At 44.1% G+C, this 15,646-nt stretch overlaps 1 protein-coding gene and 1 non-coding gene across 28 annotated transcripts in view, besides 2 other annotated features; both read right to left on the reverse strand.

Moving 5' to 3' along the window:
• FGF1 (fibroblast growth factor 1) overlaps positions 1–15,646 on the reverse strand; it is a 105,893-nt gene that overhangs the window by 18,606 nt on the left and 71,641 nt on the right. For 25 of the 27 annotated variants that reach the window (NM_001257205.1, NM_033137.4, NM_001354962.2 and 22 more), the window contains one exon: positions 3,176–3,378. In NM_001257205.1, coding sequence (NP_001244134.1) covers positions 3,176–3,344 — 169 coding nt within the window. In that variant the 5' untranslated portion in view covers positions 3,345–3,378. Of the gene's footprint in view, positions 1–3,175; positions 3,379–10,513; positions 10,552–15,646 lie in introns of those variants that run through there. The other 2 variants (NM_001257212.2, NM_001144892.3) reach the window with 1 other exon arrangement.
• Positions 10,514–11,538: a promoter, noted in NCBI's record as "-985 to +40 promoter". NCBI's record gives the evidence for it as "EXISTENCE:reporter gene assay evidence [ECO:0000049][PMID:10849427]".
• Positions 10,553–10,624: a nucleotide motif, noted in NCBI's record as "nucleotide motif; homopurine stretch". NCBI's record gives its function as "may form a structure sensitive to single-strand nuclease cleavage" and the evidence as "COORDINATES:motif similarity evidence [ECO:0000028][PMID:7533902]".
• Positions 15,386–15,522, reverse strand: LOC124901195 (small nucleolar RNA SNORA36 family). The gene has a single exon (XR_007059154.1). It is a non-coding gene; the product is annotated as a small nucleolar RNA SNORA36 family (small nucleolar RNA).

A 15,646-nucleotide genomic window follows, 5' to 3' on the forward strand; every position in this document is an offset into this window, starting at 1 on the left:
ATTTTACTCAGGTCTCTATTAGAACAGCCCACACACAAGCATCTGCCCTAGGGTTATACCACTATAAGGAAGGTTAGGTACTTGGAAACTCATTCTCCTAGAGGTAGGAAGAAGATACATTTGCCCAGGAATGATCAATGACTTGGGGACAAAGAGAAGCCGTGAAAGGAGTTATTTCTGCCTTGTAGAGCTCAAAGGCATACGGTTCTATCTTGTGTGATTTGTTTAAATTTTTCGATTGGCTTTTAGAAACGCTCTTTCTGAAGGAAGTCTTAACGTGTGACTCTGTCACTTCAGTCTCTAATTATGCTCAAACTAGTGATCAAGGAATCAAAAATATCTCCTTGCCAGGCCGTGTGGATCACATTTAGTCAGGGAGCATCCGTCTCATGCCTGGCCGAGGCAATTCTGTTTCTGAATAACCCTTGAAACTCAGAAGGGCTCTGGCAGTACCACCACTGGGCAGAAGAGGGCAACAGAACCACATTCAGGGAGTACATCCGTGCCCAGGACTCCTCTCACCTGCAGAACCCTAGTAAATAGAAGTTTCGCCCTTGTGAGGCACACTGGGCAATGCTGCCATTCCCATTCCACAGGTGAGGAAACTGAGTCTCAGCGAGACTAAATGATTTTCCTGAAAATTATCTGGGAACACTAGAGACACTTCAATTTCTAGTCAGGAAAGGACTGGAAGCGTCCCAGGGCTGGGGGGCTTGAAGCTTCTTTCGCAGAGTTTGCAAACAGAAAGAATGCATAATGGCAAGAACGTTAATTGTCCAGGGCTGCTCCAGGTAGAAAGGGGCAGAGTAGGCTTGAACTCGAGCCTGCTGACTCTTCAGTGGAATATCCAGTTCCAGTACTGACAGGTACACGGATGGGCTTCTGGCCACCCACCCCACTTACTCTGATCTCTGTCCTCTTGGTCCTTGTTCTTAGTTCCAGAGTAAGCAAATAATAGGCCCACACAACAACTCCGAGTGTTGGCAGAGAGATGCTGAATCTAAGCCTGCATCTAGCCCCTTGACTTTCCTGGGTGGCAGTACTGTTAAAAAGAGGAGTCTGGAAGGTCCTTCAATACGACCCTGTGTTACCATATGCTAGGCTGATTATATGGAAAGCTTGATGATGATAACTGCAATATGAACCAACACGTGCTGTGCTGTTCCTCTGTGCCAGCCACTGTGCCAAGAACTCTCACTATATTATCTCATTTAACCCTCCCAAGAAACCTGTGAGGCAAGGAATATTAGTATTCTTTTTGTACAAATGAGAAAAGTGAGGGTGAAAGGTGCAGTTGCCCAAGTTCACTTGGAAAATAATCTGGCATTCCTTGAATGCAGAAATCCTCACCTGCACTCCCAGGGCTACGTTGTGCTGCTTTCTAGGGGCTCCTGACATCTTAAGTCAGGCGGCCAAATCCACTGTGGACTCCAGAAGTTGTGCCAGTGTTACACACCCAGAGTGCAGTCTGTTGTGCTAATGATGGAATGGCAACAGTTAAGCCATTTTCCATTGCTACAGAAATTCCAGTATTGGAGCCTTTTTTTACTCCAGAAGTCAAGGTTTCCAGAAGAGCTAGCTTAACCCCAAGGAACATATCATGAAGTTTGTCTTTCCTCTTGGGTTCTGAGGACCGGAGAGCATTCCCTACTTTTTCAGAAAATTGGTTAAGACGTATTAGGAACACTTAAAACCCAGAGGAATTAAAGCTTGTTCGTGTTGTGTGGGGCAGATCACGTGAGTTGTGTATCATGCCTGACACAATGGACTACAATCTAAGTTTGCTAATTTGCAGTGAATATTGCTTATGTATGCTATTTAACAAACTAGAGTCTTTTTTTTTTGCCTCATTCTGACACCTGTTTTTCACTGAGTATAAGACATTCAGCAAGCCCATTTGAAGATAAGCCATCAAAACAAAGCCCAAAAGAGCTAATTCTGCAGCTGCAAGCCCCAGCCTCAGCCTTCCTGCTCCTCATCTCCAGGGTCTGTGCAGTGGGTGGGGAGGAAGGAACAACGTCACCTCGTGTAAACGCCAGCATCCATCCCCATTACCTGTGCATCTGAGGGTACAGCGTGAGCACCAGCGAAGTGGTCATTTGTTCTTAGAGCCTGCAACCTCTGGTGCATGGTCCATGAATAATTAAGACCACCTGATGTATAAACCATCATGTCAAAGTGAGTGTTTTGCATTGCATTTTGAAGCCAGTCCTACAGAAACTTCCTTCCTGCCTGTCTTCTTCTATGTCTCCTGATTTTCCTTCTCTTGATTTGTGGCAAGTTTGACTCTTGAGATTGCTGACCCTCTAAGCAGGGACTGGATCTGACTTTAGGCTTCTTTGTAACCTCTGATGCTGCAGTGGGACTCAGGGAATCTCAGATAACATCACGATAGGACCTGGACACCTAATATCAAACATACACACCAATGCCAGAAGTACCAAAGCAGAAGGAAGAGATTTTTTTATACTTAGATAGTCAAGAAGATTCTTTTCTCTAGAGTCATACCTTCATTTGTCAACACCTCTGAGAACCGGGCTGCCAGGAAGTCCTGGAAGAGATATTCAGCATTTGGCGCTAGTCGCTCCTACTCTCCAGTTTCTATAAGGTCTGGAGAATGACTTTACCACTGCTGGTTACCACAGCCACATCTGCGTGATACGCAGAGGGAAAGCTGCATAATTTATGATGTGTAAGACTACGATTATGAACTGGGATTTCACAAATCAAGCCCAGTGGAAACATAACCAGGAGAGTCAGTTGACTTGAAACGGAGCCCACATCTCTGTGCAGGATTTACCACCATGCCTGTCTGGTTCATCCCATCATGAAGCGTGCAGGCCCCTGACTAGCCTTCGGGGCCAGATCTTTCACTAGTTACAGAAACCTGGGAAAACATACAGCAATTGAGCACCGGCAGCCCGTTCTGTTGGGTCAGCAGAGAGTGCTTTAAAAAACTTGAAATAGGACACGTTTGGGTAAGTGGTGGCCCCCACAAGTCCCTATTTTCTAAACCCAGACATTTTACGCATTTATGTGACTCCACCTCTGAATGTGTCATGCCTGAATAGAACCTTGGAGAAGCAAGTACCTGTACTTAAATGTGCACCTTCCTCCCACCTTGACTACAGAAGATGTCAGAAAGGGAAGGGGGGTGCCATAGAGATGGGCTTACTGTGCTGGTCGCTCCTGTCCCTTGTCCCATCCACTGTGCCATCCGGAAGGATCCTCAGGAAGTGGCCCCCGTTGCTACAGTAGAGGAGTTTGGGCTTCTTGTAATTCCCTGGAGGCAGATTAAACTTCTCGGTCAGGGCTGTGAAGGTGGTGATTTCCCCTTCAGCCATGGCTCAGCAGCTGCTGCTTGTGGCGCTTTCAAGACTGTAAGAAATTGAACAAACCTGTAGTCGGTTCTTCCAGCAAAGGCACAAAATGCACTTTGAAGAGAGGAAGGACAGCTCCAGGGCACAGGGTTCCCGGGTAGTGAGTAAGCACAGCCTGCCCAGGTGATGCCCGCAGTCCGCGGGCCTGTGAGGTGGCTGGTGGTTAAGGAAGGATGGTCCCAGGCCTGGGAGGGGTTTCCAGGGCATTTTTCTCTCTTCCCAATTGGACACAGCTTTGGACCAAACTGCATTTTTTAGAACTTCAAATTTAATCATCTGACCATGGGGAAAAGAATCATGTTTTGGTCCCTCCTTCTGGTCCACACACATCCTCAAATTAAACACCAAAGTTGCACTAAAATAACACCTAGGGTCTGGCTGAAACCCACAAAAGCTGAGAGGCCAGGACCAAGGTTCTGCCCTCCACCCTCACGTTGCGTTGGTGAGGTACCGCGAAGCAGATAGCACAGATGGCCTGGACGTTCGGGACCTGCAGCCAAAGGCACAGGAGGCCTTTCAGGGACACAACAGGGAAAGTAAAGGGTTAGTATGTTAAGGGAAGCTTCTGGATTTGCTGGGGGAAACAGAACTGGAACCAGGGAAAAAGGCACAGAGTGGGAGTAAGTGGGGTTTTTAAAGGGCAAATACCATATCAAAGGAAATGTTATGAGACAGATCATTATGAAGGCTATGCCTGGTTCCTGCCCATTCTGCAGCTTTCCACATAGCTTCATGTGGCACAGAGAAGGTGGGTCTGTCCCTTGCACGCAGGCTGTTTTCATCCTAGCTATTTTCTAATGTGAGATAGAACACAGAAACCACCATATTATATATAATATACCTTTAACATTATATGTAGCCACTACATACAAACTTATATTATTAATGTGAAAATGCATCACTTACACCTCAAAGGATTAAAAAACAAAACCAATGAGCATTAGAATTGGTTAAAACATATACTTGCCCCACCATTTAGGAGAAGGAAGTGCTGGTGACTCTAAAAACTGAAAAGAAAGAGGCCAAAAAGAGACCAGGAAACTAACGTGTGAACTGCACTTTTTTTTTTTTCTCCTGAGACGGAGTCTCTGTAGCCCAGGATGGAGTGCAGTAGCACGATCTCAGCTCACTGCAACCTTGGCCTCCCGGGTCCCAGTTCAAGCAATTCTCCTGCCTTAGCCTCCCAAGTAGCTGAGATTACAGGAATGCGCCACCACACCAGGCTAATTTTTATATTTTTAGTAGAGATGGGGTTTCACCATGTTGGCCAGGCTGGTCTTGAACTCATGACCTCGTGATCCGCCTGCCTCGGCCTCCCAAAGTGCTGGGATTACAGGCGTAAGCCACCGCGCCCGGCCTGGGAGCTGTACTTTGTAAGTGTGAGTAGTGAATGTGATCATCAATACATATTGATTATCAAGTGGTCTTAGAATAAAAATCATCACCCTCATCATTAACGTATTTTGGGCTACAGGTTATCTCAAGTAATCTCACCATAATCCCTTGAAGTGGACACTAATATTATCATCATTTTTAATAAAACCAAAGCTTACAGATGTTCAGTGACCTGCCCAAGGGCAACAGCTAGTAAGCGATGGAGCTGAATCGCAAAAGGAGTCTGGGAACAGAAAGCCCCAATTTGCCCTTGATCACCATGAAAAGGTTTAGTGACTTTATCCACACTAGTCTTTTTATGAGGAGTGGGGTTTTTACCCATTGCCTGACATGTACATCTGCCACCATTAACTTGTCATTCATATATTTATTTGTGACCCAAAGGTTGGCTAGTCTCCACCAACAGCCTCTCCTTTTGCCCCCATGCCATCTGTGAAACAGGACTCCATGCATCTCCACCTTCTCCAGGAGAAGCCCACCCCAGCAGCTTCGTGAGCATCATGGAAGACCAGCAGCTACCCTGCCTTCCCTGCACTAACCATCCATCAGTGCCTGTAGCAGCTGTGCGGAGCTGCTCTCATAGGAGATGGTTCCATCATAAATCAAGACACCAATTACAATAATTTGTCCTTATGACTTTAAAATGAGGGCTCATGTTGGAAGCCTCCATCTGTTTTCTCTGCTCCTGGCATTTTAATGTTTCTGGTACATTTTTCCCACTCTGCCACCACATGGGCCAGCCATTGTCCCTGGTTTCAACTAGTGTTGGAGGTGCCTCCAAGAATCCCAAAGAGAATTTCGCAAATACCATATAAACTATATTTAAAGTCAGATCATCCCAAATGTCCCCTCCATCCCATATGGTGAAACTTCGATTAATTCTTTTCACATAATACAGCAACAGACAGAAAATAAATATAATACCACATATATGTAATTTTATTTATGTCAATTTCACAGAGAGGATTGCAGAGTTTACCTTGCATAGTACAATCTCTCTCCATCCTCACTGTCTCTTCCAAACCTTACTTTCTTATCCATAAGCCTCTAAGTCCTTCTGTGTCCACCTCTGGCTCTCTTACTCTCTGTCCCTCTGTCTCTTCCTGTCTCTCCACTCACTCCTCTCTCCACCCAGCCTCTCACTCTAACTCCTCACTCCACTCCCTTCTGGATCCACTTCTAATGTAAAGCAATTTAGCTCTTCCCAGTGTGGATATCTTTATCCCTCACCTCTCTATTAGCACTCAACCATCACCAGATTCCCCTTCCTTAAAATACAACTAAGAGGTAATGATTTTTTTCTTTCATTTATTTTTTCCAAGCACTTCCTAAGTTATGTACTTCATTTGGTACAGGAGACAATAATTATATACCAGTGGTTGCCACTTAACTGCACAAATAGTCATTTGTATTGTCAATCTTAGGTGGGCCGAATTTTGTTTCTCCTTGTCTCTGGACTTCCTCCAGTGTAGGTCCCATTTGCCTCTGATTGTGGGGCAATTTCATTTTAAGAATGGCCTTTCAGGCCAGGTGTGGTGGCTCATGCCTGCAATCCTAGCACTTTGGGAGGCCGAGGTGGGTGGATCACCTGAGGTCAAGCGTTCAAGACCAGTCTGGCCAACATGGCAAAAACCCATCTCTACTAAAAATACAAAAATTAGCCAGGTCTGGTGGTGCATGCCTGTAGTCCCAGCTACTCGGGAGGCTGAGGCAGGAGAATGGCATGAACCTGGGAGACGACAGTTGCAGTGAGCCAAGATTGCGCCGTTGCACCCCAGCCTGGGCGACAGAGCGAGACTCTGTCTCAAAAAAAAAAAGAATGGCTTTTCTTCTAGATTCTAGACCATGTGTGTATGAGCCATGCAGCCCAGACTTCATCACTGTGGAGTTTTCACTGGCTAAATAACCTCAGCCAGAGCCCAGCAGGTCCTCAGGGGCCCCTCCCTCCTGACCACAGTGTACCTGCAGTCATACAAGGCCACAACTCTGCTCTCTGCCTGATCCCCTCAGTGAGAGGGAGCATCATGAGGGTGCCTATACTGATGTCAGATGGCTCCCCAAACCCTTCAGATCCACAACTGAAAACCTGAAGGAGACATGTAGGCTTCTGAAAATAAGCCTGGAGTCAACATGAAACTGACAGACCATGGTAACTGAGATTGATGACTCAGCTGAAACATATAAAAAATGAAATCCCTTTTTGTTGCTAAAGGAAACCCCAGGGGCATGAAAAGCCCTTATTTTAAACTTTATTTGTAATTTACCTATAGTTTGAGCGGTAGTTGGTCCAAAGTTCCTTGCCAATCCACTATTTGTTAAAGGGTAGAAATAAAGGAAGTATATGGCGTGATAAAACCATAAGGCAGCAACGTTAGCAGGTCCTTGGAGATTTACACAAATTGCTTTAATAAATGAATCCATTAACTAAGTGAAATCAGGCATTAAGTGTAAGGAAATTTATAAGCTCTGCTTCTTGTTACTATTTTCTTTTTAGTGGCTGTCAGAGGAGGGGATTGTCTGTGTTGTGCTGGGAAATGGAGAAGATCAAGCCCAGCGAACTCCGTGTCACCATTGTGCACGAAGCCTAGCCCTTTGAGATTTGGGGTACGGGTGAGATTTTAGGAAATCCAGATGATTTTTTTGATTTATCAGTGACACCCAGGTTAGAGGAACACCAAGCCTATTGGAACATCTGTGTTAAGGCTGACATACTTTGTCAGCTGTGGCCTCTGGAAGGGAACCTGAACTCTGACACATGAACAGGATGTGGATAGTAAGCAACCACTTTGGCTCTGGGAACCCGGGCGAGTCATTCACTCCTTCTGAGATGTTTCCTCTAATAATTCTCATCCTGCCTCTCACACAGTTGTCTAAAGGATTAAATGGGTACAATATTGATACAGCGCTTGAAAAATTGGACCTGACCTATAGGAGATAATAGTAACTGGTTATGTTGAACTCGTTGGAGCCTGGTGTGATCTAAGTCAGCTGTGATTAAATGCTTAATTTAAAATAATTTTTTAATTGGTTTGAAAATAGAAGTTTTTCATTCCCATATTTGGCAGAAATTAGCTAAGCTCCTCCCCCTGTGCTGTAAGCCACAAACATAGCAGAGAAGATGAAAGGCACAAAGGTAAGCCATGGTTATGTAAGAAAAAATCCTGGTCTGCATTTCAGACTCAGTTCTCAGCTTATCAACAGTTAATATAGTGACAGTTACTATATAGTTATTACAGTTATTTGCGAGGCCCATTATATCTAGGAGACATTTGTGCCCAGCTTGGCCCTGGAAACTAAGCTGGAAGGAAAGACTGTGATGTGTTAAGAATCAAAGGAAGGCAAACACTGACATTTATTTTTTAGTTGTTTTGTTTTTTTTTTTTTTTTTTTTTTTGAGACGGAGTCCCGCTCTTTAGCCCAGGCCGGATTGCAGTGGCACAATCTCGGCTCACTGCAAGCTCCGCCTCCCAGGTTCACGCCATTCTCCTGCCTCAGCCTCCTGAGTAGCTGGGACTACAGGCGCCTGCCACCGCGCCCGGCTAATTTTTTGTATTTTTAGTAGAGACGGGGTTTCACCGTGTTAGCCAAGATGGTCTCGATCTCCTGACCTCGTGATCCACCCGCCTCAGCCTCCCAAAGTGCTGGGATTACAGGCGTGAGCCACCACGCCCAGCCTTTAGTTTTGTTTTTAATCCCTGTCACTGTGTAAGCAATGTGGAATACCCATGAAGGAGGATATTTTGCAGAGTATATAAAGCCACTGAAGGTAGATGTGTAGACAGACACCTGCTAAGGTGATAATTGGATGTATCCTCAAACCCAGCATATACAAAACAGGCCTTGGCTTTGGTTCCAAATATGCTCTAAGTCCTTGCTGCCTGTGGCTATGAATGGCATCACCCAAAATCTTAATTCTTCCTTAGAGATATTAACTAAATTTTGTTAAGTCAAATATACATGTTAAATGTTAAAGGTAACTACTAAAAGAAAAGAAATAGAATGTATTTAGTCCAAGCGGCAACTGGTAGGCGTAAGGGGGATAAGGTGGAATAAATAAAACTGTGCTTATCTTCGTGACCAGCCTGACGAACATGGAGAAACCCCGTCTCTACTAAAAATACAAAATTAGCCGGGCATGGTGGCGCATGCCTGTAATCCCAGCTACTCAGGAGGCTGAGGCAGGAGAATCGCTTGAACCCGGGAGGCGGAGGTTGTGATGAGCTGAGATTGTGGCATTGCACTCCAGCCTGAGCAACAACAGCGAAACTCCGTCTCAAGAAAAACCAAAAAACGAAAAAAAAACAAAACCCTGTGCTATTCCAAAATAATCTAGAAAAAGAAAAAAAGAAAATAAAGTAAAAAAATTGCTCAGAATTAGGTGGCCAAAATAAATCCAAATATATGTATAATCACAATAAATGTAAATGTGCTAAATTTACTAGCTACTGTTTTTTTTTTAACTCCATCTGCACTCTGATTACAAGAGACACATTTAAAACATAATGACATAGAGAGGTTAAAAGCAAAAGAATGAAAAATAGATACCAGACAAATGTTAACAAAAAAATTGAAAACTCGGCTGGGCGCGGTGGCTCACGCCTGTAATCCCACCACTTTGGGAGGCCGAGGTGGGCGGATCACGAGGTAAGGAGATCGAGACCATCCTGGCTAACACAGTGAAACCCTGTCTCTACTAAAAATACAAAAAAATTAGCTGGGCATGGTGGTGGGCGCCTGTAGTCCCAGCTGCTGGGGAGGCTGAGGGAGGAAAATGGTGTGAACCCAGGAGGCGGAGCTTGCAGTGAGCTGAGATCGCGCCACTGCACTCCAGCCTGGGTGACAGAGCAAGACTCCGTCTCAAAAAAAAAAATTGAAAACTCGTGTGGCTATATTAATATCAGATAAAGTAGGTCTAAGGCAAAAAGAATGACTAAAGATAAAAGGGATTGCCACATAATAAGTGGATTAATTCAACAGAAAGATATACAAATTCCAAACATGTATATATCTAATGACATAGCCTCAAAATACATAAAACAAAAATTGACAAATATGTAAAGAGAAAGTGACAACTCCGCAATTATGGTGGGAGATTTTATAATACATTTCTGTCATAAATGATAGAGCAAACAGACACCAAATATTAATATGTAGAAGATTGAAATACACAACTAGTAAACTTAATTGATGAGTGTATAAAAGAACCTTGTACCCAACAATGAAGTGAACATCATTCTTATCAAAGATACATGGAGCATTTACGAAAATTGACCATGTACCAGGTCATAAGGCAAGACAACCCAAATAGAAAAATTTGTTTCATTCAGACTATTCTTTGGGCAGAATAGAAATCACTCCCACCTGTTCAGTTGGTGAAAATGCCCTTTCAGTTTTACCTTTTTAGTGTCTCCTAAAGCCATCCTCTTTTCTCCAGCCTCACTTCTGTTGCCTTAGCACAGACCCAGCACCTGTCTCACCTGGGCTGCTGCAGCAGGTCCCACCTTTCCAGCACTGCCTTCTTTCAATCCACTGTCAATTCTGCTGCTAGTGACCATTCTAACTCATCACTCCCCTGCTGTAGATCTTTGACTGGGTCATTGATTTCCCGTTGTCTTTCCAGATAAAACCCAGACTCCTGCCATGACCTGTGAGGCTCTCATCATTTGACCCCTTCTTAACCCTGTGACTTTTTCTCTTATTGGCCTCTTTTTATAGTCCCCCTACACCCTCATACTCACCCAGGTCTTAGCCCAAACATTGTGCTGCTGCCAACAGTATTTTTTCTCTCTCTCTTTTTCTCTTTCTCTTTCTCCCTCCCTCCCTTCCTCCCTCCTTCCCTCCTTTCCTCCACCCTTTCACCATGGTCTGACTAAGTCACACTCACCCTTCAAAAATTTAGCTGGATATTTCGGATATTTCCTCCTCGAGCAAGCCTTATTTGGACACATCCCCCAACCCTAACCTCCCTACTCTTTCTTAAAATTCACATATACCAGTTTAGGTGGGTTCATTCCCCTGTGCTCTCCCAACAGCAGACAGCATTTCCTTTACTTCACTGCAGCGCTGGGTGTAATTCCCATCTATATCCCCCTGCCTAAACTCTTCAGTGATTTCCCATTGCTCTGGGACAAAAACAAAAGCCTTGCTGTGGCCTGCAGGACTCTGGGAGGTTCAGCCCTTACTCCCCCTCTGCCTCATTTCCCATCACGTCTCCCTCCAAACTTGCCTTCCATTTTCTGATTCCCCCCACCCTAGGACCTTTGCCCATGCTGTTCCCTCTGGAGTGATGTTCCTCTCTTTCTCTCTACCCTACTCCCCTGGTTAACTCCTAATTTTTCTTCAAATTTTAGTTCAACTCTCAATTCCTCATGAAAGCCTTTCCTGTCTTCCCTGAACTGAGTCAGGTTCCTCCAGTTCTCATAGGACCATTTAACATTTCTTCATGGCTCTTACTACCAGTGTTTAATTACACATTCACTCTTGTGATTATTTAATGTCTCTTTTCATGACTGGACTGTCAGCTCCATGATAGTACAAACCAATTGGTCTTGCTCACAATGGTATCCCAGTGCCTAGCAAAATGCCTGACACCTGATGGGCATTTGATAAACATCTGTTGAATGGGCAAATGAATGTAATTTAACTACGTTTACTTCACTGACTCCTTCATTAGTCTCTGAGACCCTGGGACAGAAACTATGCCTTTTCTTTCTGTATCTAGCATTGAGCAAATACCTATGCATTATTAGTGTCCTGTGAATTCTTGTTGATTGAAGGGCCAGTCCTTTCTCAGGAGCCTCTTGTGGAACATCTTATCAGACTACCTAATTAGCAGGTGATGTCCTATAGGTATTGACAAAGAAGCTAAGCCAAGAGTCTAAATGTATTTTAATTGGGTTCAAATTAGGCCAGAATACCCTACCTTTGGTTAAAGGCAGGCTCAAACCCTGTCCTCATCTTGTAATAAATACTTCCTTATTTCTTTAAAGAAAATACTATGGAAACTAAGGATCTCAGAAAGGAAGTGATCAGCTCCTTTAGTCTCAAGTCTGAACTTATCTAACCAAGAAAAATATTTGTAGGGCCTGGAAAAAACATCCAGGCTTTTTTTATTTCTGCCACAGCGTGTTAGGCTGGCAGGGCCCCACCTTCCACTCCCTGGTGAAGGAAAGTTTGCCGAAGAAAGGGAGGCAGTGTGTTCTTTGCTTTCTATTTCTTTTGCTCCATGTTCCATGGTCTGTACTGGGTCTGAGGTAGGAGTGTAGCCATGGCTGATTGGCCTGGGCTAGCATCTCAGCATGCTGCCCCCAAACCAGTTCTGTTCCATGAGCTGAAATCTCATCTTCCGTGGTTGACAGTAAACTGTGGACTTGACTATGGGATGGACTTGACAATGGTGTGCAGGAGACAGCTCCCAGAAGCTCATGAAAGCCAATTATTAAATATTCAGGAATTTTACTATTATTAAACCATTAATATCTTGAAATCAACCCTGGTGAGAGTATTTATATCATAGAAATTGGCAAATGCCAGGGCTTTTAAAATTCTCCTTTTTTTTCCCCTCTGATAGCTGGTTTACCCAGCATACTGCTAAACTTGGGTTTGAATCCTGGTTGGACACTCACTAGTAAATGACTCATTCTCACAGTGCCCCAGTTTCCTCATCTGCAAAATGGGGCTGCATAACAGTAGCTACTGAACAGAGTCACTGTAATCTCAGCACTTGAGAACTTGTAAGCATTCGATAGATATTAGCTTGACTATCACCAGCTGTGTACCCTTTTGACACTTTTTTTTTTTTTTTGAGACAGAGTCTCGTTCTGTCGCCCAGGCTGAAGTGCAGTGGTGCGATCTCTGCTCACTGCAACCTCCACCTCCCGGGTTCAAGTGATTTCTCCAGCCTCAGCCTCCCAAGTAGCTGGGATTATAGGCACATACCACCACGTCCAACTAATTTTTGCATTCTTTTAGTAGAGACGGGGTTTCTACCATGTTGGCCAGGCTGGTCTCAAACTCCTGACCTCAGGTGATCCACCTGCCTCAGCCTCCCAGAGTGCTGGGATTACAGGCATGAGCCACAGTGCCTGGCCCCTTTTGTCACTTTTACAAATCATCTGGTATTGATTTAGGATTGAACAAGCTTGATTTTTCATATTTAGAAATATTTTGTGTCATTTCATTAAAAAAATTTTTTTTTTTTTTTGAGATAGGGTCTTGCTCTGTCACCCAGGCTGGAGTGCAGAGTGCAGTGTACACTCATGCTCACTGTAGCCTCAAATTCCTGGGCTCAAGCGATCCTCCCACCTCAGCCTCCCAAGTAGCTGAGACTACAGGCATAGGCCACCATGCCTGGTTAACTTTTTTTTGTTTGATTGTTTGAGACAGAGTTTCGCTCTTGTTGCCCAGGCTGGAGTGCAATGGCACAATCTTGGCTCACTGCAACCTCCGCCTCCTGGTTTCAAGCAATTCTCCTGCCTCAGCCTCCCGAGTAGCTGGGAATACAGGCACCCGCTACCATACCTGGCTAATTTTTGTATTTTTAGTAGAGACGGGGTTTCACCACGTTGGCCAGGCTGGTCTCGAACTCTGGACCTCAGGTGATCCACCTGCCTCAGCCTCCCAAAGGGCTGGGATTACAGGCGTGAGCCACCATGCCCGGCTGTCTGGCTAACTTTTAAAATTCTTTTTTGTAGAGATGGGGTCTCACTGTGTTACCCAGGCTGGTCTTAAACTTCTAGGCTCAAGCAATCCTCCCACCTTGGCTTCACAAAGTGCTGGGATTACAGGCATAAGCCATCACGCCTGGCCCATTTAGTAATATTTTAGGAGTATTCGAAAAATACCATGTTCTAAGTGATAGGTTAGAACTTTCCATTGTCATTTATAAGCACTGATGCACTGCTCTCATTTGCTTAGGTGCTCAACATGACGTGCTAGTGATGAATTTTCAGTATATTTCATGGGTCTACATGTGTTACTGTTCAGGATGACAGAGAATGTGCTTAATAGTCTTTCTCTTCTGCTCTTTAATTTAGGATACTTTTAATTCTAAAGACTCCCCAAGTCACTGAGAATAAACTGTCCCCTGGTTTCTAGAATCAAATATTATTTGAGGGAGATCAAGATGTCACATACTCTAGAAGTCAACAACTTCTACTCAGTGCCTGCCATGGGCAGAATGCTGTAGACATCCTGGAAATTTAAAAAAGAAAAGAAAGAAAAAGAAAGACCTGAGATCCCTAATCCACAATTCTGAAATTCAAAAAGCTCTGAAAGCTAGAAGTTCTTTCATAACAGACTGTGGCAAAACCTAGCCCAAACTGTCCTGAGACTTAAAGTCTATTTGTTCTGCATTGTGTTAATAATACTTATATAATCTGGTACAGTTACTAATGTGTTTGATTCTAGGGTAGTGTCCCAGACACCACTGGAGTTGTTCCATAATATACAACATATGCACCATACTACCTCGCTAAAATTACCCAAATTCTAGATTCTGAAACATATCTAGCCCAAGGCTTTTCAAATAAGGGATTATGGGTTGGTAGTAGAAATCAGTTGCTGCCTTTAAGGAGTTTACAGTCTAGCCACACCAGACTCATCAAGCCATGTTTCAGATAAGAGGGACATAGATGCTTGCATCTAGTGTAACTGGCAGGAAGTGGGGCTGTTATCTAATCCAGCTGTGTCACCAAACAGCTCAGTCCCAGCCCCAGCTTGCACACTTCATAACGAAGAGAGAGAACTACAAGCGGACACACACACACACACACACACACACACACACACACACGTGTCCTGTAGTATCCTTTATTTCTTCCCTTGATTCTGTATGTTTTTTCCCTGCAGTCTGGCTTATTCATCCACAAAACACTCCCCCTCATAGAGCATCATTCAGTTGGAGGTCAGGAATTCTTTTAAGTGCTTAGAGAAAACAGTATCCACTCCAGAAGGAAAAACAGAGTGCTCCCTGGTGCAATGGTGTGCTCTGCCGGCCCCCATTCTGTCTGAACTTTAATGGTACACCACGGTCCAAACCATCCGGCCGGCCCTGGGCCATCCTGAAGACCTGCACACATCTTAAATGGAAATATCCTTCCTGCAGACGGACACATTAAAGCCCCAGGGCTTCACGCCAAATGCAAAGTGATTCTGCAGGGGCTCTGGCAGCCCTTCGCCACCTCCTTTAGCCTTCTCTTACTGATGTGTCTCCAAAAATCTTTTGAATCTGTTGTTGTGCAAGTTACAATTTCCAGAACCAGCCTGGCAAGGACATTCCTTTCTCGAAATCAGCCAACATTCCAGCTTATAGGAAGATGGTCTGTTGGCTGCATCTTTTTTTTCTTTCCCCTTGACCTAGAAAATTTAGCTTCTCCAGATGCAGTCTTTTGAAGTATGTGTTTGTTATCTCTTTAGAAATGCTGAGGGCTTGCCCTACCATTTGTTACTCAATAGCCGACTCTGGACCTATCCGTAAATAATAAAATATGTCCACAAATAATAATATAATGACCCTTCTTGAACATTTACTGTATGCCAGATATGGTTCTAAGCACATTACATTAATTAATCCTCAAATTCTGTTAGGAAAGTATTTTTGTTTTTGTTTTTGTTTTTGGCTAGGAAGGAAATGAATAGAATAGTATTCTCTGTGCAATCACCTACCCTAGCCTGTTTTAATGCCCCAACATTCCAAAGTTTAATTAACAGAAAAGGGAAGCTGTCCTCGACTGAACTCAAGGCATTGTCTGAGTTCCCCCATTTGGCAGCTAAGGAAGTGAGGCTCAGAAAGTTTATGTCACTTTTCTAAGATCATACCACTAAATATTAAAAGTAATGGCAAAAGCGCAATTACTTTTGCACCAACCTAA

This window comes from Homo sapiens, chromosome 5, assembly GCF_000001405.40.
Source record: "Homo sapiens chromosome 5, GRCh38.p14 Primary Assembly".
NCBI classification, from domain to species: Eukaryota; Metazoa; Chordata; class Mammalia; order Primates; family Hominidae; genus Homo; species Homo sapiens.